The sequence below is a fragment of the Homo sapiens genome, chromosome 15 (genome assembly GCF_000001405.40).
Source record: "Homo sapiens chromosome 15, GRCh38.p14 Primary Assembly".
Lineage (NCBI taxonomy): Eukaryota > Metazoa > Chordata > Mammalia > Primates > Hominidae > Homo > Homo sapiens.
Window position 1 is genome coordinate 20,303,204 of NC_000015.10, and position 25,948 is coordinate 20,329,151.

The following is a 25,948-nucleotide window of genomic DNA, read 5'->3' on the forward strand; positions in this document are numbered from 1 at the left end:
ACTGCTCTGGCCCTTGCCCTGACTCTGGTCCTGTCACTGGCCTAGCCCCAGCCCTGTTGCTGGTCTTACCATGGCCCAGACCCTGCCTTGGCCCTTCCCTGACACTGTCCTGGACCCTGGCTGTGCCAAGATCCTGCACTGACCGTGTCCTTGTTTTGCTCCTGCCCCGAACCTGGTCCTGCCCAGGCCATGGCCATGGCCCTGGCCCTGCCCTGGCTGTTCCCTGGCCCTGCCCTGCCTTGGCCCTATGCTTTCCTGGCCCTGTCTTGCCTGTCCTGGCCCTGCCTTGGCCCTAGCCTGGCTTTGACCCTGCCCTGGCCCTACCTTGGCCTTCACCCTAGCCTTACCTGGCCACTCTGTTGGACCTGGCCATAGCACAGACCTGGTTGTGGCCCTGGCCCTGCCATGGCCCTGTCCCAGACCCTAGCCCTGCCAGGTACCTGTCCTGGCCCAGCTCTGGGCCTGGCTTTGTCCCTGGTTCTTAGATGAACCTGGCCCTGCACCTGCCCTTGCCCTTGCCCTGGCACTGGCCTTGGACATGTCCGTGGTCCTAACCCTGGCCCTGCCCTGGAGCTGCCACTGTCTTGGCCCTGCCCTGGCTCTGGCCCTGCCCTGGCCCTGGCCCTGCCCCGGCCCCAGCCATAGACCTGCCCTGGTTGGTCATGCCCTACCTTAACCCTGTGCTACCCTGGGCCTGCTCCACCCTGCCCTGGCCCTGCCCTCCCTTTGGCCCTGCCATGACCCTGCCTTGGCCCTCACACTGGCCCTAGCACAGACCTGGTCCTATCTGTGGCCTTAGCCTGGCATTGACCCTTGCTCCTGACCCTGGCCCTGCCATGGCCCTTGCCCTGCCAATGACCCTGACAGCCCTGGCCCTGGCCCTGTCTTGGCCCTGGCCCTGAACTGGCCCTGCCCTGACCCTGGCCCTGAAGTGGATTTGCAGGTGTCTTGTCCATGATTTAACCTGGTCTTATCATGGCCCTGTCCCTCCCCTGGCTCTGTCCTGGTCTTGTGCTGACCCTGACCCAGACCTTGGCCCTGCCCCAGCCTTGTCCTTGACCTGGCCATGGCCCTGCCTCTGCCCTGGACCGAGGCTGGCACTGGCATGGACCCTGGCCCTGGCCGTTCACTACTTAAGGCCATACCCTGGCCCAGCCCTGGTCCTGACCCTGTCCTGGCCCTAATTTGGCCTGGCTCTACCCTGGCATGCTATTCTGGCCCTGGCCCTGACCCGGTCCCTGTCCCTGTCCTGGCCCCAGCCCCGTTGCTGGTCCTGCCATGGCCCTTGTTCTGACATTGCCCTTTCCTGGTTCTGGCCCTGGCCCTGTCCCAGCCCTGCTCTGGCCCTGGTCTGAACCCTGGCCCTGCAATAGACCTGCCTTGGTCCTGCCCAGACCCTGGCTCGGGCCCTACCTCTGCCCTGGCCATACCCTTGCCCTGGCCTGGACCTCGGTCCTGGTCCTTGTCCTGCCCCAGCCATGGTCCTGGCCCTGCCCTGCCTGTGCCCTGTTCTATCCTGGGCTGGCCCTGCCATGGCCTGGTCTTGCCATTGCCCTGCCTTAGCCTGCCCTGCTTGTGCCCTAGATCTGCCCCGGCCTTTGCCCCGTCTTGGTTCTAGCCTTGACGCAGCCCTGGACCTTCCCTGACCTTGCCTTAGCCCTGGCACTACCCTGGCCTTGGCTTGGCATTTGCCCTACTCTATGGCCTGGCTCTCGTCCTGCCCTTATGCAGGCCTGACCCTGCCTGTGCCTTGGCTTTGGCCTGGACCTTGGCCATACAGTGACCCTGCCATGACCCTTTCCTGGCCCTGGCCTGGAACCTGGCCCTGCCAAGGACTCGCCCTGGCTCTGTCATGGCCCTGGCCCTTTTCTGGATTTGGATGTGTCCTGTCCCTTATTTCCCCGGCGCTTCCCTGGCTCTGCCATACCCCTTCTCTGGGGTAGGGCCAGGGTCAGGACCAGGGTAGGGCCATGGTAAGGCCTGAAGATGGGAAGGGCCAAGGCAGCGGCATGACCAGGGAAGGGTCAGGGCCAGGAATGTGGTAGGACTAGGGGCAGAGCTGGTACTAGGGCTGAGCCGGGGCAGAGCAGGAGAGATTACGTTAGGCTGTTATGTAAAATTTTTATTTTAGATTTTTAAGATAACTACAGTAGTAGTAATAATGTCTATACTATGTTGTTTGTAATAGTAATAATATTTGCAGTAAATAATCACTAAATTTTAACTAATACTATCTTTGCTTCCAGTAGTATTCTATGAGTATAATTTTATCAATATGTAAATATGTGAGGCATTGATTCTCACAATAATTCTACATGCTAGGTACTTAAAGCATCCCCATTTTCCAAATGTAGGAAACAGGCATAAAGAAGTTAAATACTTGGCCAGATTACTCCTGTAATCCCAGCACTTTGGGAGGCCAAGGCAGGCAGATGGCTTGAGCTCAGGAGTTTGGAACCAGCCTGGGCAACATTGTGAAACCCCATCTCTACTAAAAATGCACAAAAAGAGCTGATTTAAGTTTCTTGTAGGATTCTGGTTATAAAACACTGCTCAAACACACAGGGCATGGATAGGGCAGGGCCAGGGACAAGGTCAGGCCAGGAAGGGGCCAGGGCCAAGGCAGGGCCAGAGCTGGACTTGGAGGTGTCCTGGTCTGATTTGCCCTGCCCCAACGTTGGCCCAGCCCTGCTCTGGCACTTCTGTCATGCCCTGTCCCTGGCCTGAGCATTGGCCCTGTCCCTGTCCTGCTTCTGGCCCTGCCCCGGAGTTGACCAGGCACTACCATGGTCCAGTCCTGCGTTGCCCTGCCCTCCTCTGCCCTGGCGCTGCCATGGCCCTGCTTGGGCCCTAGCTCTGCCTCGACTCTGGACCTGCCCTGACTCTGCTCAGCCCTGGATCTACCCTGACTCTGCCTTGGTGTTGCCCTCCCATCTCTATGGCCTGGCTCTGGCCGTGCCTTGCACAGGCCATGCTCTGCCCTGCATGTCCCAGCCTGGGCCCAGCCCTTGTCCTACCATATTCCTGACCCCAGCCGTACCCTTGTTCTGGCCTTGACCCTGCCGTGGCCCTCTCCTGGCCCTTCCTTGGTCCTGCCCTCCCCTTCCATGCCCTGGCCTTGCCCTCACCCTGCATTGGCCCTGCACTGGTCCTGCCCTGCCCTGGCACTGCCTTGGCTACGGCCCTGCCTTCTCCCTGGCCTTGCTCTTGCCCTGACCTGGCCTGACCCCAGGCCTACCGAGTCCATGAAATGGCCCTGGACTTGCCTTGCCATCGTCTGTCCTGGACCTGTATTGTCCCCACCATGCTCTGGTCCAGCACTTACCCTGGCCCTGTTGCTAGTCCTGCCACTGCTATGGCCCTGCCCTGTTTTTGGCCATGCCCTGTGCTACCTTAGCCCTGCCCTGCCTTGGCCCTACCGTGGCCTTCTCCTACCCTGGCCTGGCCCTACACTAGCCTTTTCTACCCTGGCCTTGCCCTTCCCTGGTCTTGCCCTGCCCTGGCCTTGCCCTGCCCTGGCCTTGGCTTTGCCTTATCCTGGTCCTGGTTCTGCCCTGGCCCTGCTCTTGCTCTGGATCCTCTCTGGTTTTGCCTTCTCCCTGGCCCTGCCCCTGGCCCAGTCTTGACCCTGGCCCTGGCCCTGACAATCCCCAGGCCCCACACTGGCCATGCTTGGCCCTGGCCCCTCCTTTGGCCCTGCACTGGCCCTGTGCTATCTTAGTCCTACCCTGGCCCTGAACTCGCCCTGGCCCTACCCTCACCCTACACTGGCCCTGCCCTACCCTGACCTTGCCCTGGCCTGGCCCTGCCTTTGGCCTGCCCTGGCTCTGGTTCTGCCCTGGCGTTGCCCTTGCCCTGGACCCTCCCTGGCCATGTTTTTTCCATGGTCCTTCTCTGGCCTTGCCCTTGCCCTGTCCCCTTTCTGGTCCTGCCATGTTTCTGGCCCTGCCCTGTCCATGTCCTGGACCTGACTCTGGCCCTGGACCTCCCTGTCCCTGCCCTGCCATACTCTGGCCCATTCTTGCTCTACACTGACCCTGCCCTGCCTTGGCCCTGTGCTACCCTAGCCCTGCCCTGGCCTTCTGCTGACCCTGATCCTGCCATGGCCCTGGCCCTGCCATGTCCCTGCCCTGGCCCTGGTTCTGCCCTACTTCTGGCCCTGGCCTTGGTCCTCTCATGTCCCTGGCTATGACCCTGCCCCTGGTTTTTCTCTGTCCATGACCCTGCCCCGGTTCTGTCCTATCCCTGGCCCTGTCTCAGTTCTGTCCTAGCCCTGGCCTTTCACAGTACTTTATGCTTAGTAAGGGCTCCATGGTGTCTGTGAGTTGAATGTTGTGTTCATAGTATCTGCCAAAACAGAAAGAAAAAAAAATCTGATGATGAGAAGTTAAAGCTTTGTATATAATATGCCTTGAATTGTAAGTGCTTGTTATTAGTTGTATTACATATAGGTCATGGTTTTGTACACATAACTCCAAACCATTGATACTGTTAAAAGAGTATATGAATATATGAAAGAATGTATAAACGTAAGAATGTATGAGTATCTAATGAACTTTCCAAATTAATTTTTATTTTTAGCTCTATTAGATTTTTCTCAGTGTAACAAATGTTTATTCCTATGTAATTAAGGGCGTATTTCCTGTACAGAGTATTCATATTACCTAATTGAAAATTATATAATACAAAAATATAATATTATTTTTAGGCCAGGCATGGTGGCTCATACCTGTAATCCCAACATTTTGAGAGGCCAAGTTGGGAGAATCATTTGAGTCCAGGAGTTGACCAGCCTGGGCCACATATTGAGACCTTTTCTTTATTAAATAAATAAATAAATAAATAGGTTGGGCACTGTGGCTCATATCTGTAATCCCAGCATTTTGGGTTGCAGAGGCAGGAGGATTGCTTGAGCCCAGGAGTTTGAGACCAGCCTGGGCAGAATAGCAAGACTCCATCTCTACAAATAATAAAATATTAACCAGGTGTGGTGGTGCGCACCTGGGGTCCCGGCTACCCGGGAGGCTAAGGTGGGAGGTTTGCTCAAGGCTGCAGTGAACTGTGAATGCACCACTGCATTGCAGCCTAGGCCACAGAACAGGACCTTGTCTATAAATAAAGAAATAAGTAAAAACATAAATAAAAATAAGTAAAAAGAAATATAAGTAAATATAAATATAAATACATGTAAATATACAAATGAATACATGAAAACAATTTTTAAATTTAACATCACTGAGGGCATCCTATCCATTTCATTTCATGATTCCATTACGTCATTTCACTTAGATGAAATGATAATATGACTTGAGATGAGATGAAATGACTAAATGATGAGATGAGATGAAATGATGAGATGAAATTTTGAGATGAAATGGTGAGTAGAAATGATGAGATTAAATGATGAGACAAAATGACAAAATTGAAAAGAAATTGAAAGGAGATGAGATGAGATGAAATGAGATGAAATGATGAGATGATGGATGAAATGATGAGATGAAATGAGATGAAATGATGAGAAGAAATGATGAGATGAAATGAAATGAAAAAATGAAATGATATGAAATAATGAAATTGAAATGAGATGAGATGATATAATGAGATAAAATGATGAGATGAAATGAGATGAATGATGAGATGAAATGATGAGATGATAAAATGAAATGATGAGATGAAATGAGATGAAAAATGATGAGATGAAAAATGAGATGAAATGAGATGAAATAATGAAATGAGATGCAATGAAATAATGAAATTATGAAATGTAATGATGAAATTGAAATGAGATGAGATGAAATGATGAAGTGAGATGAGATGAAATGAGATGAAATGATGAGATGAAATGAGATGATGAGATGAGATGAGATGAAATGATGAGATGAAATGAGATGAAATGAGATGTAATGAAATGAGATGAAATGAAATGACATAATGAAATGCAATAATGAAATGAGATGAAATGCAATAATGAAATGATGAAATAAAATGATGAAATAAATGGAAATGAAATGGAAATGATGAGATGAGCAGAAATGATGAGATGAAATGATGAAATGATGAGATGAGATGAAATGATGAGATGAAATGAGATTAAATGATGAGATTAAATGATGAGATGAGATGTGATGAAGTGAGATGAAATGATGACAAGATATGATAACATGAAATCAGATGAAATAATGAGATGAAATGATGAGATGAAATGATGAGATGAGATGAAATGTGACGAGATGAAATGACAATGAAATGAAATAAATGATGAAATGGAATAATGAAATGGAAATGATGAGATGAGATGCAATGAGTTGAAATGATGAGATGAAATGATGAAATGATGAGATGAAAAGATGAGATGAGATGAGATGTGATGAAATGATGACACGAAATGATGACATAAAATGAGATGAGACGAAATGATGAGATGAGATGAAATGGTGAGATAAAATGATATGAAATGAGATGAAATGATGAGATGAGATGAGATGATGAGATGAACTGATGAAATGAAATAATGAGATGAAATGAAATAATGAAATGAAATTGAAATAAATTTGAGATGAGATGAGATGATGAGATGAACTGATGAAATGAAATAATGAGATGAAATGAAATAATGAAATGAAATTGAAATAAAATTGAGATGAGATGAAATGAGATGAAATGATAAGATGAAATTATGAAATAAAATGATGAAATGATGAGATGTGATGAGATGAAATGATGAGATGAGATGACATGAAATAATGAAATGAAATTGAAATGAGAAGATATGAGATGAGATGAAATGATGAGATGAAATGATGAAATGATGAGATAAGATGAAATGAGTTGATGAGATGATGAGATGAAATGATGAAATGATGAGATGAAATGAGTTGATGAAATGATGAGATAAGATGAAATGAGTTGATGAGATGATGAGATGAAATGAGATGAAAAGATGAGATGAAATGATATGAAATGAAATTAGATGAAATGTAATGAGATGAAATGAAATGACATAATGAAATGAAAAAATGAAATGAAATAATGAAATGAGGTGAAATTAAATGAGATGATGAAATTAAATGATGAAATGAAATAATGAAATGGAAATGAAATGGAAATGATGAGATGAGATGAAATGATGAGATGAATAATGTGATGAAATGAGATGAAATGATGAGATGAAATGAAATAATTAAAGGAAATTGAATTGAGATGAGATGAGATGAAATGATGAGATAAAATGAGATGAAATAAATGATGAGATGAAATGACGAAATGCTGAGGTGAGATGAGATGAAATGAGATGAAATGATGAGCTGAAAGGATGAGGTGAAATGATGAGATGAAATGATGAGATGAGGTGAGATGAGATGAAATGAGATGAAATGATGAAATGATGAGATGAGATGAGAAGAAATGAGATGAAATGAGATAAGATGAGATGAAATGATGAGATGAGATGAGATGAAGTGAAATGAAATGAAATAATGAAATTGAAATGAGATGAAATGAGATAAAATGATGAAATGAAATGATGAAATGAGATGAAATGATGAGATGAGATGATGAGATTAAATGATGAGATGAAAAATGATGAGATAAAATGATGAGATGAATTGAAATGAGATGAAATGAAATAATGAAATGAGATGAAATGAAATGATGAAATGATGGTATTGAAATGAAATTGAAAGATGAGATGAGATGAAATATGAAATGTTGAAATGAAATGATGAAATGAAGAGATGTGGTGAGATGAAATGATGAGCTGAAATGATGAGATGAAATGAAATGAGATTAAATGAGATGAAAAATGATGAGATGAAAAATGATGAGGTAGGGAGGAGCCAAGATGGCCAAATAGGAACAGCTCCGGTCTACAACTCCCAGCGTGAGCGACGCAGAAGACGGGTGATTTCTGCATTTCCATCTGAGGTACCAGGTTCATCTCACTAGGGAGTGCCAGACAGTGGGTGCAGGTCAGTGGGTGCGCGCACCGTGCACGTGCCAAAGCAGGGCGAGGCATTGCCTCACTTGGGAAGCGCAAGGGGTCAGGGAGTTCCCTTTCTGAGTCAAAGAAAGGGGTGATGGATGGCACCTGGAAAATTGGGTCACTCCCACCCGAATACTGCACTTTTCCAACGGGCTTAAAAAACGGCGCACCACGAGATTATATCCCGCACCTGGCTCGGAGGGTCCTACGCCCACGGAGTCTCGCTGATTGCTAGCACAGCAGTCTGAGATCAAACTGCAAGGCGGCAGTGAGGCTGGGGTAGGGGTGCCTGCCGTTGCCCAGGCTTGCTTAGGTAAAGCAGCTGGAAAGCCTGAACTGGGTGGAGCCCACCACAGCTCAAGGAGGCATGCCTGCCTCTGTAGGATCCACCTCTTGGGGCAGGGCACAGACAAACAAAAAGACAGCAGTAACCTTTGCAGACTTAAATGTCCCTGTCTGACAGCTTTGAAGAGAGCAGTGGTTCTCCCAGTACACAGCTGGAGGTCTGAGAACGGGCAGACTGCCTCCTCAAGTGGGTCCCTGACCCCTGACCCCCAAGCAGCCTAACTGGGAGGCACCCCCCAGCAGGGGCACACTGACACCTCACACAGCAGGGTACTCCAACAGACCTGTAGCTGAGGGTCCTCTCTGTTAGAAGGAAAACAAACAGAAAGGACATCCACACCAAAAACCCATCTGTACATCACCATCATCAAAGACCAAAAGTAGATAAAACCACAAAGATGGGGAAAAAACAGAACAGAAAAACTGGAAACTCTAAAAAGCAGAGCACATCTCCTCCTCCAAAGGGACGCAGTTCCTCACCAGCAACGGAACAAAGCTGGATGGAGAATGACTTTGACGAGCTGAGAGAAGAAGGCTTCAGACGATCAAATTACTCTGAGCTACGGGAGGACATTCAAACCAAAGGCAAAGAAGTTGAAAACTTTGAAAAAAATTTAGAAGAATGTATAACTAGAATAACCAATACAGAGAAGTGCTTAAAGGAACTGATGGAGCTGCAAACCAAGGCTCGAGAACTACGAGAAGAATGCAGAAGCCTCAGGAGCCGATGCGATCAACTGGAAGAAAGGGTATCAGCGATGGAAGATGAAATGAATGAAATGAAGCGAGAAGGGAAGTTTAGAGAAAAAAGAATAAAAAGAAATGAGCAAAGCCTCCAGGAAATATGGGACTATGTGAAAAGACCAAATCTACGTCTGATTGGTGTACCTGAAAGTGATGGGGAGAATGGAACCAAGTTGGAAAACACTCCGCAGGATATTATCCAGGAGAACTTCCCCAATCTAGCAAGGCAGGCCAACATTCAGATTCAGGAAATACAGAGAACGCCACAAAGATACTCCTTGAGAAGAGCAACTTCCAGACACATAATTGTCAGATTCACCAAAGTTGAAATGAAGAAAAAAATGTTAAGGGCAGCCAGAGAGAAAGGTCGGGTTACCCTCAAAGGGAAGCCCATCAGACTAACAGTGGATCTCTCAGCAGAAACTCTACAAGCCAGAAGAGAGTGGGGGCCAATATTCAACATTCTTAAAGAAAAGAATTTTCAACCCAGAATTTCATATCCAGCCAAACTAAGCTTCATAAGTGAAGGAGAAATAAAATACTTTACAGACAAGCAAATGCTGAGAGATTTTGTCACCACCAGGCCTGCCTTACAAGAGCTCCTGAAGGAAGCACTAAACATGGAAAGGAACAACCGGTACCAGTCACTGCAAAATCATGCCAAAATGTAAAGACCATCGAGACTAGGAAGAAACTGCATCAACTAATGAGCAAAATAACCAGCTAACATCATAATGACAGGATCAAATTCACACATAACAATATTAACTTTAAATGTAAATGGACTAAATGCTCCAATTAAAAGACACAGACTGGCAAATTGGATAAAGAGTCAAGACCCATCAGTGTGCTGTATTCAGGAAACCCATCTCACATGCAGAGACACACATAGGCTCAAAATAAAAGGATGGAGGAAGATCTAACAAGCCAATGGAAAAGAAAAAAAAAGGCAGGGGTTGCAATCCTAGTCTCTGATAAAACAGACTTTAAACCAACAAAGATCAAAAGAGACAAAGAAGGCCATTACATAGTGGTAAAGGGATCAATTCAACAAGAAGAGCTAACTATCCTAAATATATATGCACCCAATACAGGAGCACCAAGATTCATAAAGCAAGTCCTGAGTGACCTACAAAGAGACTTAGACTCCCACACATTAATAATGGGAGACTTTAACACCCCACTGTCAATATTAGAGAGATCAACGAGACAGAAAGTCAACAAGGATACCCAGGAATTGAACTCAGCTCTGCACCAAGCAGACCTAATAGACATCTACAGAACTCTCCACCCCAAATCAACAGAATATACATTTTTTTCAGCACCACACCACACCTATTCCAAAATTGACCACATACTGGGAAGTAAAGCTCTCCTCAGCAAATGTAAAAGAACAGAAATTATAACAAACTATCTCTCAGACCACAGTACAATCAAACTAGAACTCAGGATTAAGAATCTCACTCAAAACCGCTCAACTACATGGAAACTGAACAACTTGCTCCTGAATGACTACTGGGTACATAACGAAATGAAGGCAGAAATAAAGATGTTCTTTGAAACCAACGAGAACAAAGACACAACATACCAGAATCTCTGGGACGCATTCAAAGCAGTGTGTAGAGGGAAATTTATAGCACTAAATGCCCACAAGAGAAAGCAGAAAAGATCCAAAATTGACACCCTAACATCACAATTAAAAGAACTAGAAAAGCAAGAGCAACCACATTCAAAAGCTAGCACAAGGCAAGAAATAACTAAAATCAGAGCAGAACTGAAGGAAATAGAGACACAAAAAACCCTTCAAAAAATTAATGAATCCAGGAGGTGGTTTTTTGAAAGGATCAACAAAATTGATAGACCGCTAGCAAGACTAATAAAGAAAAAAAGAAGAATCAAATAGACGCAATAAAAAATGATAAAGGGGATGTCACCACCGATCCCACAGAAATACAAACTACCATCAGAGAATACCACAAACACCTCTACGCAAATAAACTAGAAAATCTAGAAGAAATGGATAAATTCCTCAACACATACACTCTCCCAAGACTAAACCAGGAAGAAGTTGAATCTCTGAATAGACCAATAACAGGAGCTGAAATTGTGGCAATAATCAATAGCTTACCAACCAAAAAGAGTCCAGGACCAGATGGATTCACAGCCGAATTCTACCAGAGGTACAAGGAGGAACTGGTACCATTCCTTCTGAAACTATTCCAATCAATAGAAAAAGAGGGAATCCTCCCTAACTCATTTTATGAGGCCAGCATCATTCTGATACCAAAGCCAGGCAGAGACACAACCAAAAAAGAGAATTTTAGACCAATATCCTTGATGAACATTGATGCAAAAATCCTAAATAAAATACTGGCAAAACGAATCCAGCAGCACATCAAAAAGCTTATCCACCATGATCAAGTGGGCTTCATCCCTGGGATGCAAGGCTGGTTCAATATACGCAAATCAATAAATGTAATCCAGCATATAAACAGAGCCAAAGACAAAAACCACATGATTATCTTAATAGATGCAGAAAAAGCCTTTGACAAAATTCAACAACCCTTCATGCTAAAAACTCTCAATAAATTAGGTATTGATGGGATGTATTTCAAAATAATAAGAGCTATCTATGACAAACCCACAGCCAATATCATACTGAATGGGCAAAAACTGGAAGCATTCCCTTTGAAAACTGGCACAAGACAGGGATGCCTTCTCTCACCACTCCTATTCAACATAGTGTTGGAAGTTCTGGCCAGGGCAATCAGGCAGGAGAAGGAAATAAAGGGTATTCAATTAGGAAAAGAGGAAGTCAAATTGTCCCTGTTTGCAGACGACATGATTGTATATCTAGAAAAGCCCATTGTCTCAGCCCAAAATCTCCTTAAGCTGATAAGCAACTTCAGCAAAGTCTCAGGATACAAAATCAATGTACAAAAATCACAAGCATTCTTATACACCAGTAACAGACAAACAGAGAGCCAAATCATGAGTGAACTCCCATTCACAATTGCTTCAAAGAGAATAAAATACCTAGGAATCCAACTTACAAGGGATGTGAAGGACCTCTTCAAGGAGAACTACAATCCACTGCTCAAGGAAATAAAAGAGGATACAAACAAAGGGAAGAACATTCCATGCTCATGGGTAGGAAGAATCAATATCGTGAAAATGGCCATACTGCCCAAGGTAATTTACAGATTCAATGCCATCCCCATCAAGCTACCAATGACTTTCTTCACAGAATTGGAAAAAACGACTTTAAAGTTCATATGGAACCAAAAAAGAGCCCGCATCACCAAGTCAATCCTAAGCCAAAAGAACAAAGCTGGAGGCATCACACTACCTGACTTCAAACTATAGTACAAGGCTACAGTAACCAAAACAGCATGGTACTGGTACCAAAACAGAGATACAGATCAATGGAACAGAACAGAGCCCTCAGAAATAACGCCGCATATCTACAACTATGTGATCTTTGACAAACCTGAGAAAAACAAGCAATGGGGAAAGGATTCCCTATTTAATAAATGGTGCTGGGAAAACTGGCTAGCCATATGTAGAAAGCTGAAACTGGATCCCTTCCTTACACCTTATACAAAAATCAATTCAAGATGGATTAAAGACTTAAACGTTAGACCTAAAACCATAAAAACCCTAGAAGAAAACCTAGGCATTACCATTCAGGACATAGGCATGGGCAAGGACTTCATGTCTAAAACACCAAAAGCAATGACAACAAAAGCCAAAATTGACAAATGGGATCTAATTAAACTAAAGAGCTTCTGCACAGCAAAAGAGATTACCATCAGAGTGAACAGGCAACCTACAAAATGGGAGAAAATTTTTGCAACCTACTCATCTGACAAAGGGCTTGATATCCAGAATCTACAATGAAGTCAAACAAATTTACAAGAAAAAAACAAACAACCCCATCAAAAAGTGGGCGAAGGACATGAACAGACACTTCTCAAAAGAAGACATTTATGCAGCCAAAAAACACATGAAAAAATGCTCATCATCACTGGCCATCAGAGAAATGCAAATGAAAACCACAATGCGATACCATCTCACACCAGTTAGAATGGCAATCATTAAAAAGTCAGGAAACAACAGGTGCTGGAGAGGATGTGGAGAAATAGGAACACTTTTACACTGTTGGTGGGACTGTAAACTAGTTCAACCATTGTGGAAGTCAGTGTGGCGATTCCTCAAGGATCTAGAACTGGAAATACCAATTGACCCAGCCATCCCATTACTGGGTATATACCCAAAGGACTATAAATCATGCTGCTATAAAGACACATGCACACGTATGTTTATTGCGGCATTATTCACAATAGCAAAGACTTGGAACCAACCCAAATGTCCAACAATGATAGACTGGATTAAGAAAATGTGGCACATATACACCATGGAATACTATGCAGCCATAAAAAATGATGAGTTCATCTCCTTTGTAGGGACATGGATGAAATTGGAAATCATCATTCTCAGTAAACTATCGCAAGAACTAAAAACCAAACACCACATATTCTCACTCATAGGTGGGAATTGAACAATGAGATCACATGGACACAGGAAGGGGAATATCACACTCTGGGGACTGTGGTGGGGTGGGGGGAGGGGGGAGGGATAGCATTGGGAGATATACCTAATGCTAGATGACGAGTTAGTGGGCGCAGCGCACCAGCATGGCACATGTATACATATGTAACTAACCTGCACAATGTGCACATGTACCCTAAAATTTAAGTATAATAAAAAAAAAGAAAAAAGAAAAATGTTGAGATTAAATGCGATGAGACGAATTGAGATGATATGAAATAATGAAACTAGGTGAAATAATGAAATGAGATGAAACGAAATAATGAAATGAAATTGAAATGAGATGAGAAGAAATGAGATGAAATGTTGAAATGAAAGGAAGAAATGATGAGATGAGATGAAATGATGAGATGAAATGAGATGAAAAATTATGAGATGAAAATATGAGATGAAATGAGATGATATGAAATGACATAATGAGATAAATGAGATTAGATGAAATGAAATAGTGAAATGAAATGATGAAATGATGAAAATGAAATGGAGATGAGATTTGATGAAATGATGAGATGATATGATGAGATGGGATGGGATGAGATAAAATGATGAGATGAAATGATGAGATGATGAGATGAAATGATGAGGTGAAGTGATGCACTGTCACGTGTGTGTCTATTCTTTTTCCCAACCAACAAAAATTATAATTCATTAATTTTAATTTTATTTAACAATACTCTTAAGAGTTGAAGGAAAAATATTATCTACATTATGGGTTACAATCTAAGTATAAATAATACATAAATATATTAAAACTTATAAAGAATATGTTTTGGAATCGAATATACCATGCTTCTGTGATGACAGTTATTTCATGCTGGTTGTCACAATTTTACGTGAAAAACTAATGAAAAAATGTTTTTAACTGTTTCTAAAAATAAGTTTCCAAAACAGTTTTACATTCGAAATATGAAAAAGATGTCTTTGTGTTCCTTAATCTGATGAGATTTTCACACTCTGCACATGATAATTGTTAGATTTTTATTGTGTTGATAAATTGTATATCAAATAAAAAATGTTATTACCTCTTAAATTAGGATTTTTAGGTGATATAGGCAGAAAGGAAGGCAAGTTTTTATAACTTTGTCTAAATGAACTTTCTAAATGCCTGAGTATGAAAAGATAGCATGTCTATAAATCACAATGTATATATTACTGTATGACCTAGGACCAATCAAAACTGTTATCTCTGATAACATTATATTGTGCCCAATATAAAATAGATATAATAATACCTCAAACTTCAATCTAGGCATTGTCATTGAATATCTTAAGAATATGCAGCAAAGGTGCTTTTAAAAATACAAGCTAGTGATTGTACTAAATTTGTAAATCACATAGGATAGTGGGTCATTTTAAGAATATTAGTTATTTCAATCTATAAACTTGGATGTCTTTCCTTTTTTGTGTTTTCTTTAATTTCTTTCATTAATATTTGTCATTTTTGTTGTCAAAATCTTTTACTTCCTTGGTTAAATTTATAAGTACATTTTTATAGCTATTGTAAAAGGATTTGCTTTCTTAATTTCTTGTTTCAGCTAGTTTACTATCAATATATAGAAATGCTACTGATTTAAACAGGGACAATTTGACTGTCTCCTTTCCAATTCAGATGTCCTTTATTTCTTTCTCTCACCTAATTGTCCTGGCTAAGACTTTCACTATGTGAAATATGATTGGTGAGAATAGGCATCCTTTTCTTGTTCTAGTAAAATCTTTTTCTTGTTCACAGTAAAATCTTTCACCTTTTCCACACTCAGTATGATCTTAGTTGTAGATTTGTCCTTTATGTCCTTCTGTGTTAAGGCATATATTTTCTATACTAAATTGTTGAGAGGTTTTTTGTCATTCAAGAATATTTAATTTTGCCAAATGCTTTTATTGTGTTTATTAATTAAATCATATGGTTTTCAGTATATATCCAAAGAAAAGAAAATCAGTATATCAAAGAGTTAGCTGCACCCCCATGTTTATTACAGCACTATTCACAATAGCCAAGATATGGAATCGACAAAAGTGTCCATCAACAGATGAATGGATAAAGAAATGTGACATACATATATAATGGAATATTATTTAGTCATAATAAAGAACAAAATCCTGTTATTTGTGGCAACAAGAATGCAAGTGGAGGGCATTATGTTAGGTGAAATAAGCCTGGCATAGAAACATAAACACCACATAACTACGTGTACTCACTTATGTATGGAAGCTAAAATTTTTAATCTCATAGAAGTAGATAGTAGAGTTTTGGTTACCATATCCTGGAAAGAGTAGGAGAAAGAAGAGTATAAGAAAAATGTGGTTAATACATACAAAATTACAGCTGGAGAGAAGGAAGAAGTTCTAATTCTCTACAGCACTGTTGGGTGACTGTAGTTAATGGGAATTTATTGTGTGTTTTCAAATAACTAAAATAAAAGATTTTGAATATTCTCACTGCAAAGAAATAATACATGATTTAGGTAATGGATATGATAATGACTCTGACTTGATCTTTACGCATTGCATAAATATATCAAAATATCACTCTGTACCCCATAACATGTACATTTATTATATGTCAATTAAAATAAATTTAAAAGACAAAAAATGAGGTAAAGGTAAATGTACAGAATTTAATTACTTTTTCTTCTATAAAACCCGAGTCAGTACCAAGAAGAGTCAATTTATTAGTTTTCTAAAATAAAAAAAAATCAAAATGACCAAAAAAGAGCAATATCCAAGAAAACATTGAAAATGAAACACAACATTTAGTAAGAATGGAAAACTTGGGCACTGTATCACCCTGTTCCTAGATACCGATTTACTGATGGCCATTTAAATAGAATTTTATTCTATCTAATTCATTTATACTCCCAGAGTTCGAAATTACATTTTACCTACAATAAATGAGATAACACCTGTAAATTATATGGTACTCTGCCTAACACACGTTAATAACTCAATACATGTTAGCAATAAACTTTTAGTATAGCAGTCAAAGTATTAATTTCTCACATTGCAATTTCCTTCAAAGACATGAATACAACCTTTCTAATGACTCCTTGTTTATCAAGATACCTCTTCAAATTATTCTATTTATTTCATTCAGTATATTATCTGTGTATACCGATATGATATTACACTTTTTTTTTTGAGATGGAATCTCATTCTGTTACTGATGCTGGAGTGAGGAGGCATGATCTCGGTTCACTGCAACCTCCACCTCCCAGGTTCAAGCGATTCTCCTGTCTCAGCCCCACGGGTAGCTAGGACTACAGGTGCACACCACCATGCCTGGCTAATTTTTGTATTTTTAGTACAGTCAGAGTTTCACCCTGTTGTCCAGGCTGGTCTCGAACTCCTGACCTCAGGTGATCCACCCACCATGGCCTCCCAAAGTGCTGGGATTACAGGCATAAGCCACCGCACCCAGCCTGATATTGCACTCTTGGATTTTGAACACTGAATATCTTTTTGAAAGATTACACCTCTTTACCTCTTTGTGCTTCAGAAATTATTTTCCTTCAAGTGTTCTAAGAGTCTAATGAAGAATGAAGTCATGTTTTATCACTTTTGTCCTTAAAGATTTCAGACATGCTGAAACTGATTGAAGTATAATTTGCTACCAGATAGATTAATTATCTCTAGTTGTAGGAGTGGATACATCTTTAATGGTATATCTTGGGTTATTGTCTTATTTTTGATGCAGTATTCTATAAATAATTTATTAAACCTGGCATCCTTGGGTGAGCATAGATTTTTCAACTTTGGTGTTATATTGTGTTTGCTTTTAAAAACTGCTTTTGAGGCCAGGTATGGTGGCTCTTGCCCATACCTAGCACTTTGGGAGGCCAAGGTGGGCGGATTACCTCAGGTCAGGAGTTCAAGACCAGCCTGGTCAACATGGCAAAACCATGTCTCTACTAAAAACACAAAATTAGCCAGGCATGGTGGTGCATGCTTGTAGTCCTAACCTCTCGAGAGGCTGAGGCAAGAGAATCACCTGAACCTGGGAGGCAAAAGTTGCTAGGTTGCTGTGAGCCAAGTTCGCACCATTGCACTCCAGCCTGGGTGAAAAGAGCAAAACTCTTTCTCAAAAAAAAAAAAAAAAAAACCCACCAAAAACTGCTTTTGAATGGAGTTGTACATACAATTTTGATGAAAAAAATTATCAAGTGCATAAGTGCATAATAGAAAAACCAATAATACTCCAAGCACAAGTTAGTACTAAAAAAAATATGTTGAGTATTCTCTACTACAACTTGCTTTTTCCCTTCATGAACAATTTGTGTTTTACTGAGAAGACTCATTGTTTATGGTAGACATTAGACTACAGATGAATATGTACTTTAAACACTCTTAGTTGCTTTCTTAATTTTATATCTGCTGCTTTATGCTTCTGTTTATTTTCATTCTTTCCAATGTCTACCTTCTAGTAAATTTGAATATTTTAATCCGAGTTTATATACTATTTAATATTGCTTGTATAGTTTAGTATTTTTAAGACTCAAAAAGTTTTACAGAAAGAAGAAAAAGATCAACATGTTATTAATCATTTAAAGATCATTTTAAAATCTTTGACCTTTCTATTTTAATGAATAAAATGTTAGTAGTTATTAGTATAAAATAATTTATGTCTTTTGGACTTAGCATCCAGTATTTCTTTTTTAATAAAGAAAATAATATTCTCTTGCAATATACTATGTTTATCTGGGTTTTGAAAAATGATGTTTCCTAATATGAGAAAGCCATTTACATTTTTAAATCTACAAAGGCAAATGGAATGGTACTAAATTATTTACATAATAATGTTTAGATGGTGGCCCTTATTAACATTCTTTCTATACTTCCTACAGAGTTGGGGATATGCAATCCTAGAATATTTCTGGGAGCTAATCCTTTATCTTGATGAATGAAACAAGACTTTTAAATAAAATTAAACTTTCAAATTTTCCAGGTAATGGGCCTGTCTTTTAATTCAATGGATATGGAGCATAATGAATTATCCCCTGTTCATTGGGTAATAAGTTCTCATTCTTATAATACTCAAAATGTCCTTTAATTTTTAATTTTTGATAGTCATATCATTATCCCTAGGTATTTTAGCTTCTATCTTAAATTCTAAAATGATTTTGAAACAGGAGAAAGTATTCTTTATTACTATATGTATTAAACATCATGGTTTTCAAATTTAACTGCAAATGTATCTTTTCATTGCTTCTTGATGACGCCCTTCACCCTATCCATATTATCACTACCAAGTGGTGATTACTTTTCAGGTTCACATACTTATTCTTTAGAAAAATCTTGTCTGTGCCTTATAAAGAATATGATTGTTGGCATTCAAAAGCCAGTGAAGTATACATTATTAGCCTGTTGCCTAACTCATTTCTTTAAGAAACTACACTAATTACCCACATACTTATGTTTTTATTTCCTCATTATTTCTGGAGGAAACAAATACTGCTAACATGATATTTGTAAGACAGAAAAAAGTCTTTTCTTGAAAAGTGCTGTCATTGTAGTACTAACTTATAGTATCAACTTCTTTATCAACTCCTTATGCGCTTTTTATTCTGAGAGAAATAAAAAAGCTAAAAGTGAAATGACTTTTTTTACTGTCCATATTATAAGCACCCATCTTGGTAATTTAGGGTCTTTATAGTTAGGGTAAGTTGTGTCATACCGAGGTTACAAAATGAAAAGTATTTCGTCTCTTTGGGCCTTTCTTTATTCAGTAATACTGTCAGTTTGGCTTTTTTTGTAGGTCAACTTATTGAACTCAGTATTCTGAAATAATATGTTTACTATCTTTTGATAAGCATTTAAAATATTAGATTTATTGTTATTCTTCTGACTTTATTGGGCTGGAAGAATAATTGTTTCACTCCATAAAAGCCAAGTTGCGGAGAAAAACACATAGACATTCAACTGCAAAGCAGAGAAACTTGACTATTTTCTGCAATTTTAAAGTGTATATTGAATAAAACCATCTTTTTATTTTCTTTTTTGCTCACTGGCAAATATTAACAACATCAAGTGTATTATTATAATGTTATCTAGTTAAAAATCTCAAAAAGTTTTCATAATTACCATTTTAAAATATATAAATAGGGGACCTAATGTTAATTTTTATTGTCTGAGACCATGTCTGTTATTTCACTCTTTAAATTCAGTTAGTAATGCAGAACCTAGCACTTAGTAGATACTCAAAAATTATTTGCTGAATAAAAAAAGGTTAAACGTAATATATACAAAATGTACTGGAAAAAATGCACCAAACAATTTTGTTATACCAGTTTAATGTAAATATTGCCTTTAAAAGATAATATAGTTTTCAGGTGTCTACAGTGATTTTGTAATATTTGTGCACATATAAAATAATATTTCCAAAAATGTAATCCAGTGGGGAAATATACTTTCTAAATTCTAGATTTATAATTTAGGGTTTAAATTATAAAATCATTAAATAAGACACAAGTGAAATATAGTCAAATATCCCCTTGGAAAAAAATTAAGTGGCCTCTAAAGTGAGGTATTAATATATGTAATTTTACAATCCACTAGTGATAGAAGTAATTAAATATGCCACCAAATTGATTAACTCCTACAGTGTTAAAAGAGAAGCACTAACAATGCCAGTGAACATGTAACATGGATTTAAGCTACAAGTCATAGAAATGTGATGAGAAGCCTCAGCGCTGTAAAACAGAGGGTGGAGGAAAGATTTTCCTCTCTCAAATGAGCTTTGTGAGGTATACTTTTTGAAGGATAGGAAGTTGAAGTGTTCAGGACTTTTATGACTATTCTACTTTGGCTTAGTTTACATGATTCTTAGTTTATTAGCCTAGAAATGGCCAAGAAAACTTAAGGTTCAATAATTAGTTATAAATATGAAATAGCCCCAATTTTAAGATAAAAACAACTTATAAATGTATTTGTCTGTAAAAATTGTGTATATTTTTACAGAACATCTATTTCTTTCTTTTTTTATTTTCTTGTATTTTTTTATTATACTTTAAATTCTAGGGTACACATGCACAATGTGCAGGTTTGTTACATATGTATATATGTGCCATGTTGGTGTGCTGCACCCATTAACTCATTTATATTAGGCATATCTCCTAATGCTATCCCTCCCCCCTCCCCCCTCCCCCCACCCCACAACAGGCCCTGGTGTGTGATGTTCCCCTTCCTGTGTCCAAGTGTTCTCATTGTTCAATTCCCACCTATGAGTGAGAACATGCGGTGTTTGGTTTTTTGTCCTTGCGATAGTTTGCTGAGAATGATGATTTACAGCTTCATCCATGTCCCTACAAAGGACATGAACTCATCATTTTTTATGGATGCATAGTATTCCATGGTGTATATGTGCCACATTTTCTTCATCCAGTCTATCATTGTTGGACATTTGGGTTGGTTCCAAGTCTTTGCTATTGTGAATAGTGCCACAATACGTGTGCATGTGTCTTTATAGCAGCACGATTTATAATCCTTTGGGTATATACCCAGTAGTGGGATGGCTGGGTCAAATGGTATTTCTAGTTCTAGATCCCTGAGGAATGGCCACACTGTCTTCCACAGTGGTTGAACTAGTTTACAGTCCCACCAACAGTGTGAAAGTGTTCCTATTTCTCCACATCCTCTCCAGCACCTGTTGTTTCCTGACCTTTTAATGATCACCATTCTAACTGGTGTGAGATGGTATCTCATTGTGGTTTTGATTTACATTTCTCTGATGGGTCTATTTCTTTAAAACAAAAGGAGGGGAGTCTCTCATTTACATTAGTTTTTTTCATAGCCTTTTGAACTTTGCAATTTCTATGTTTCAGAACCTATTTCTTACAGTTTTTCTATGCTAAACTCTGTCCTAGTCAGTTCTAGAGTGTATGAAGAACCAAATGATGTAATTGTATGCGACCTGGCTGTAGTGGAACAAATTTGACTCTAAAGTATGCAGGCTCTAATTTTCCTGTCTGGTTTTGGTAAGTATTCCTTACATAGGTTTTTTCTTTGAAAATCTGGGATTGAGAGGTTGATGAATGAAAATTAATCCTTTCACTTTGTTGTATGTAGGTTTGCAATAATTAGCTCAGAGTGGAGTTTTAAGGTCATGGAGGGGTCTGATGACTTACAAATAATGGGCTCTGATTGGGCAACTACTCATCTGAGTTCCTTCCATTTGACCTAATTAAGCTTGTGAAATTTACACTAAGCCATGAGCTCATCTTTAAAAAGTTTTATTAAAAGATTTTCAGCTGTTCCAAATGGGACCTATTAGTGGAATGTGTTTTAAAGGATCATATCAGATGAATGAAAGGTATTTGATCCTTCGTTTCCTTAATAATAAAATGATGGTTTGGAAAAATAGGCTGCAGTCTAACCACAGTGCTATTATTAGGCTTTCTTGTTAAACATAGGTCTAAGCCTAAGTATGTCAATAGAACAAATACTTACTGTTTCATTTCTAGTAATGAAAAAAAAAAAAAAAACAAGTCTTCTGGCATAAGGATGATTTTCATCTGGTCATTTTGAAACATTTTTGTAAAATAAATTTACATCTATAAAGAACATTTTTATTTGTAAGGAGGGGTATGTCTCTGTGCACTGGAAGAGAGGGAGGACTAAATCACTGGGAAGTCTTATGATAAAGAAGCCATTGGCTTAAATCAGCAAAGCAAGCCATCCCTTGGTTTAAGGTGTTTTTCCTGGCCATCCTGTCTTGACTAGAACTTTACCTACACCTTCCTTTTTGGTTTAGGCAAATTATAGTATCTAAAACTGAAGTCTCAGCTCTGTGTCTTTGAGATATAAATGTTCTACCATGTCTTCTCTGGAACCTGATAACTATCTATCTCTTTAAAATGCAAGTCTAGGGAGATGACTCATCAGAAAAAGAAGAAAAAAGAGGTATTTGGAAATTGTGCAAATTAAAGCAGCCCCTGATGCCAAAGTCTACACATTCCTGAGTGAGTCAGTTCTGGCCAGTTCTAGCTGGGTCAAGAGACCTCTGCCGTGCAGGCCTGAAGAGCACCTGGATGGCAGACACCTGAGGAGCCAGGTGCCTGAAACTTCCTCCACCTGCTTGAGGTGCGCCAAAGCCCAGGTGCTGGCTGGACAACCCCTTCTGGCTGCCTAAGCAGATGGCAGAAGAAGGAAACAAGGTCAGAGGCAGAGTGTTGAACCCTGCCTCCCAGGTGGGTGGAAGATGCCTGTCACCAAACTAGGGCCCAGCTTGCTGGGTGAGATGGGTGAACTGGTGATCCCCCGAGAGAGTGGACGTCAGAACTACGTGTTCCTGGACTTCACCTCAGCCAGCGAAGGAAAGAGAGGGTTAATGTTAACTGCACGAGGCCCACTCTAGCCTTAAATTCTGTAATTCAAACCTTTCCCTTGGAGACAAAACAAACATGAAAAGGAATTCTGAGGTCAGGGGACAAGAATCACAAGTTCCCTAGTGGGAGACTGAGGAGGCAGTGTCCTTCCTGCTCTTGGTCTACTGGCTAAGAACCTTCCTCAGCCTGACCTTTGCACATTGCACTTTCAGCTCTGTTTGCAATTTTCCTCCTTTAGTGCTGAGGGAATCCCAGTGTTCGATCCTGAAATCTATCGGTTCCTAATGGGTGGTTAAAAAAAACCTCAGCGAGAGAAGCAGAAAATGTTTCCTCTTCCTGAAAAACTGTAGAAAGGCAGGCACCATTCTGGGTGAGGACATGGTCCTTGCAAATGTCTTTGTGTTTTTTTTTTTTTTTTTTTTTTTGAGATGAAGTTTTGCTCTTGTTGCCCAGACTGGAGTGCAGTGGTGTGATCTCTGCTCATTGCAACCTCCGCCTCTTGGGTTCAAGCAGTTCTCCTACCTCAGCCTCCCAAGTAGCTGGAATTACAGGCACCTGCCACCACACCTGGCTAATTTTTTGTATTTTTAGTAGAGATGGGGTTTTACCATGTTGGCCATGTTGGTCTCGAACTCCTGACCTCAAGTGAGCCACCCGCTTCTGCCTCCCAAAGTGCTGGGATTACAGGAGTGAGCCACCGCATCCAGCCTGCAAACGTCTTTAAAGACAGCATGTTTCAGAGGCTGTGACAGTGCCCTGTGAACATGCCAATTCTCGCAGTCCCGGCAGCTCTGAGGAGCAGGCCCGGCTCCTTGCCAGGCTGATGGTACTGAAACTCTGCTCTCCAAGACATAACCTGATGGCCGTGCAAGATTTCTTAATCGACTGTGGACCGTGAGAGTCTGCATCTCATTTTAATTAAGATGGGAAAAGAAAGAACAAAAGAGCAACTCCAAGATTATAGAGAAACTGGATTTTAGTATAATATTCAAGTGTAGCATTGCTAATAATAACAAACCTTTCCCCTCCCAAACGGTAAGCACTTGCACTGCCTATTATACAAAAATTCAACCACCCTCTCTGTTCCCCCGATATCTCCTCCCCAGTGACCCCCCTCTCATGCGGCCTCATGAGCCTGGCCAGTGATGAATGGCACTTTCATCGGCATGAGACTCCACGTGAGTGGGACTCAGCTGGGACCCCTCTCCACGTGGGAGCTGGAGAAGCCACCCTAGTAGCAGCTTAAAGTGTCCGTGATGTCCCTGCTGCTGAGCTAGGGGCCGCCTCTGAGCTGGTCTCGGGGTGTGAGCTGCTGCTGGTAGTGGGCTCTGCCCTGAGGGCCTGGTGGCTGGTCAGAACGGCAGGCACACATGGGTGACTCCCCAGGAACTCAGGCCACCTCCCCACCACAGCCCTGCACCATGTGCTCCAGGCATGTGCTGAGTGCCTGGTCAATCACCAGTGCCCTATTGATCCCAGTCTCCAGAGAGATCATTTAGTGTCACTCCACAGAGGGGGAAACTGAGGCCCAGAGAAGTAAGGTGACTCTCCCCAGTCACAGGGCTGGTCAGCAGTAGGATGGGAGGCTGGTCCCTTGCTGTCTGACTCCCTGAGCCCACCCATATCCCAAGGCAGCCAACCTCTGCTCGCCCTGGTTCAGGCCCCGACTGGCCCCTGTGGTGGGTGATGTCTATCTTCCTGGCCTTTGTGCTCCCAGCCAACTGGGATGGAGCCTCCAGCTAGCATGACAGGTTGTAGCTATGGACAGAAGAGTGGCTGTGAGGCTGCCAGGAATCTCACCAGGGCCCCCTCCCAGGGCCTGTCCAGAGTGAGGTCTGGGTACCCCAGGCATTGCCAGACCACAGGATCTGATGTTGACCTGTTGACCAAGAGGCCATGGCCACAGGCTTTCTGAGGCTGGCCCCCAGGGAGAGTTCAATCCCACTATCCCAATTCCTGTCCTGGCCTTACCTCTCAGTCTCACCAAGCTGCTTCATGGTCCCAAACCATGACCCAAAGTGCTGCTTGGGCTCAAGGTTGTAATTATTTGCAGCCAACTGGAGCAGCAGACCTCCTTGCTTACTTTGAATTCCTGGGTCCAGAGGGGAAAACTGGGTGGTGACAGGGACTGGACAGGGATGCCACAGGGGCCCTGTGGGGGTGTTAGATCGGGTGGTGGCCAGTCTTTGCTCATAGGGGACCCCCTTCTCCTCTCCAGTCCTGTCCCCACCTGTTCTCAGAGCTGGCTCAAACAGCAGCTCCTCCAGGAAGGTGTCCTTGGTTTCAACCTGGTACTCCCACCTGCAGGTCTTCCTGGAGTGTCTCCTCTTTCTCTCTGTCTCCCCATAAATCTAAGACGAGGGGGATGGATTTGCCCACCGCTACTCACCGTATGACTCTTGTGAGGTTGATCAGTCTCCCCTGGAAGGCCAACAGCTGAAGTCCATCAGAAAGGGTCCTCTGGCCCAGAGCCAGCCCCTGCCCACCCCTGTCATGCTGCACCCAGGGTGCAAGCCCCAGATCAGGTCTGGGTGACAGGAGGGGTATAGAGGGGCTGAGGCTCAGGGGCCTTCTAGCCTAACTTGTCTGGAGACAGTTGGGGAAACTGAGACCCCAAGTAGGGAGGTATGGCTCCGAGAGATTATTCTCATTAACCTGGAACATTTTTGCAAGCTGTTAGGTATAGGAAGTCTGTCACAGGTAAGAGAAATGCTTTTTGAGAGCATGAGAGACAGCAGGGTTGTGACAATATTGAAACACTGCCGTGCAGATTCACCAATTGCCACCACCGGGAGCCCCCTGAGAGTCATTGCAGATGCACAGCCCTCCCCTGCAACCCCTGGACCTCCCCATGGTCTGGCATCTAAAGGGTTATGCCTCATGGCAGGAATCAGGGCCCTCAGGATGCCCTGCCCACTCCAAGGTCTGCCTCTGCTCTGATTGGTCACTG

General features: G+C 41.7%; 1 protein-coding gene across 1 annotated transcript in view, besides 3 other annotated features; it reads left to right on the plus strand.

Moving 5' to 3' along the window:
* The window catches only part of LOC124903442 (uncharacterized), a 36,475-nt gene that overhangs the window by 7,551 nt on the left and 2,976 nt on the right, over window positions 1-25,948 (plus strand). The window lies entirely within an intron of this gene.
* Window positions 1,052-1,929: an enhancer, noted in NCBI's record as "H3K4me1 hESC enhancer chr15:20509508-20510385 (GRCh37/hg19 assembly coordinates)". NCBI's record gives its function as "activates a minimal SCP1, AML or CMV promoter by ChIP-STARR-seq in primed H9 embryonic stem cells {active_cell/tissue: H9 hESC(primed)}" and the evidence as "EXISTENCE:reporter gene assay evidence [ECO:0000049][PMID:30033119]".
* Window positions 2,418-3,386: an enhancer, noted in NCBI's record as "H3K4me1 hESC enhancer chr15:20510874-20511842 (GRCh37/hg19 assembly coordinates)". NCBI's record gives its function as "activates a minimal SCP1, AML or CMV promoter by ChIP-STARR-seq in primed H9 embryonic stem cells {active_cell/tissue: H9 hESC(primed)}" and the evidence as "EXISTENCE:reporter gene assay evidence [ECO:0000049][PMID:30033119]".
* Window positions 3,387-4,353: an enhancer, noted in NCBI's record as "H3K4me1 hESC enhancer chr15:20511843-20512809 (GRCh37/hg19 assembly coordinates)". NCBI's record gives its function as "activates a minimal SCP1, AML or CMV promoter by ChIP-STARR-seq in naive and primed H9 embryonic stem cells {active_cell/tissue: H9 hESC(naive and primed)}" and the evidence as "EXISTENCE:reporter gene assay evidence [ECO:0000049][PMID:30033119]".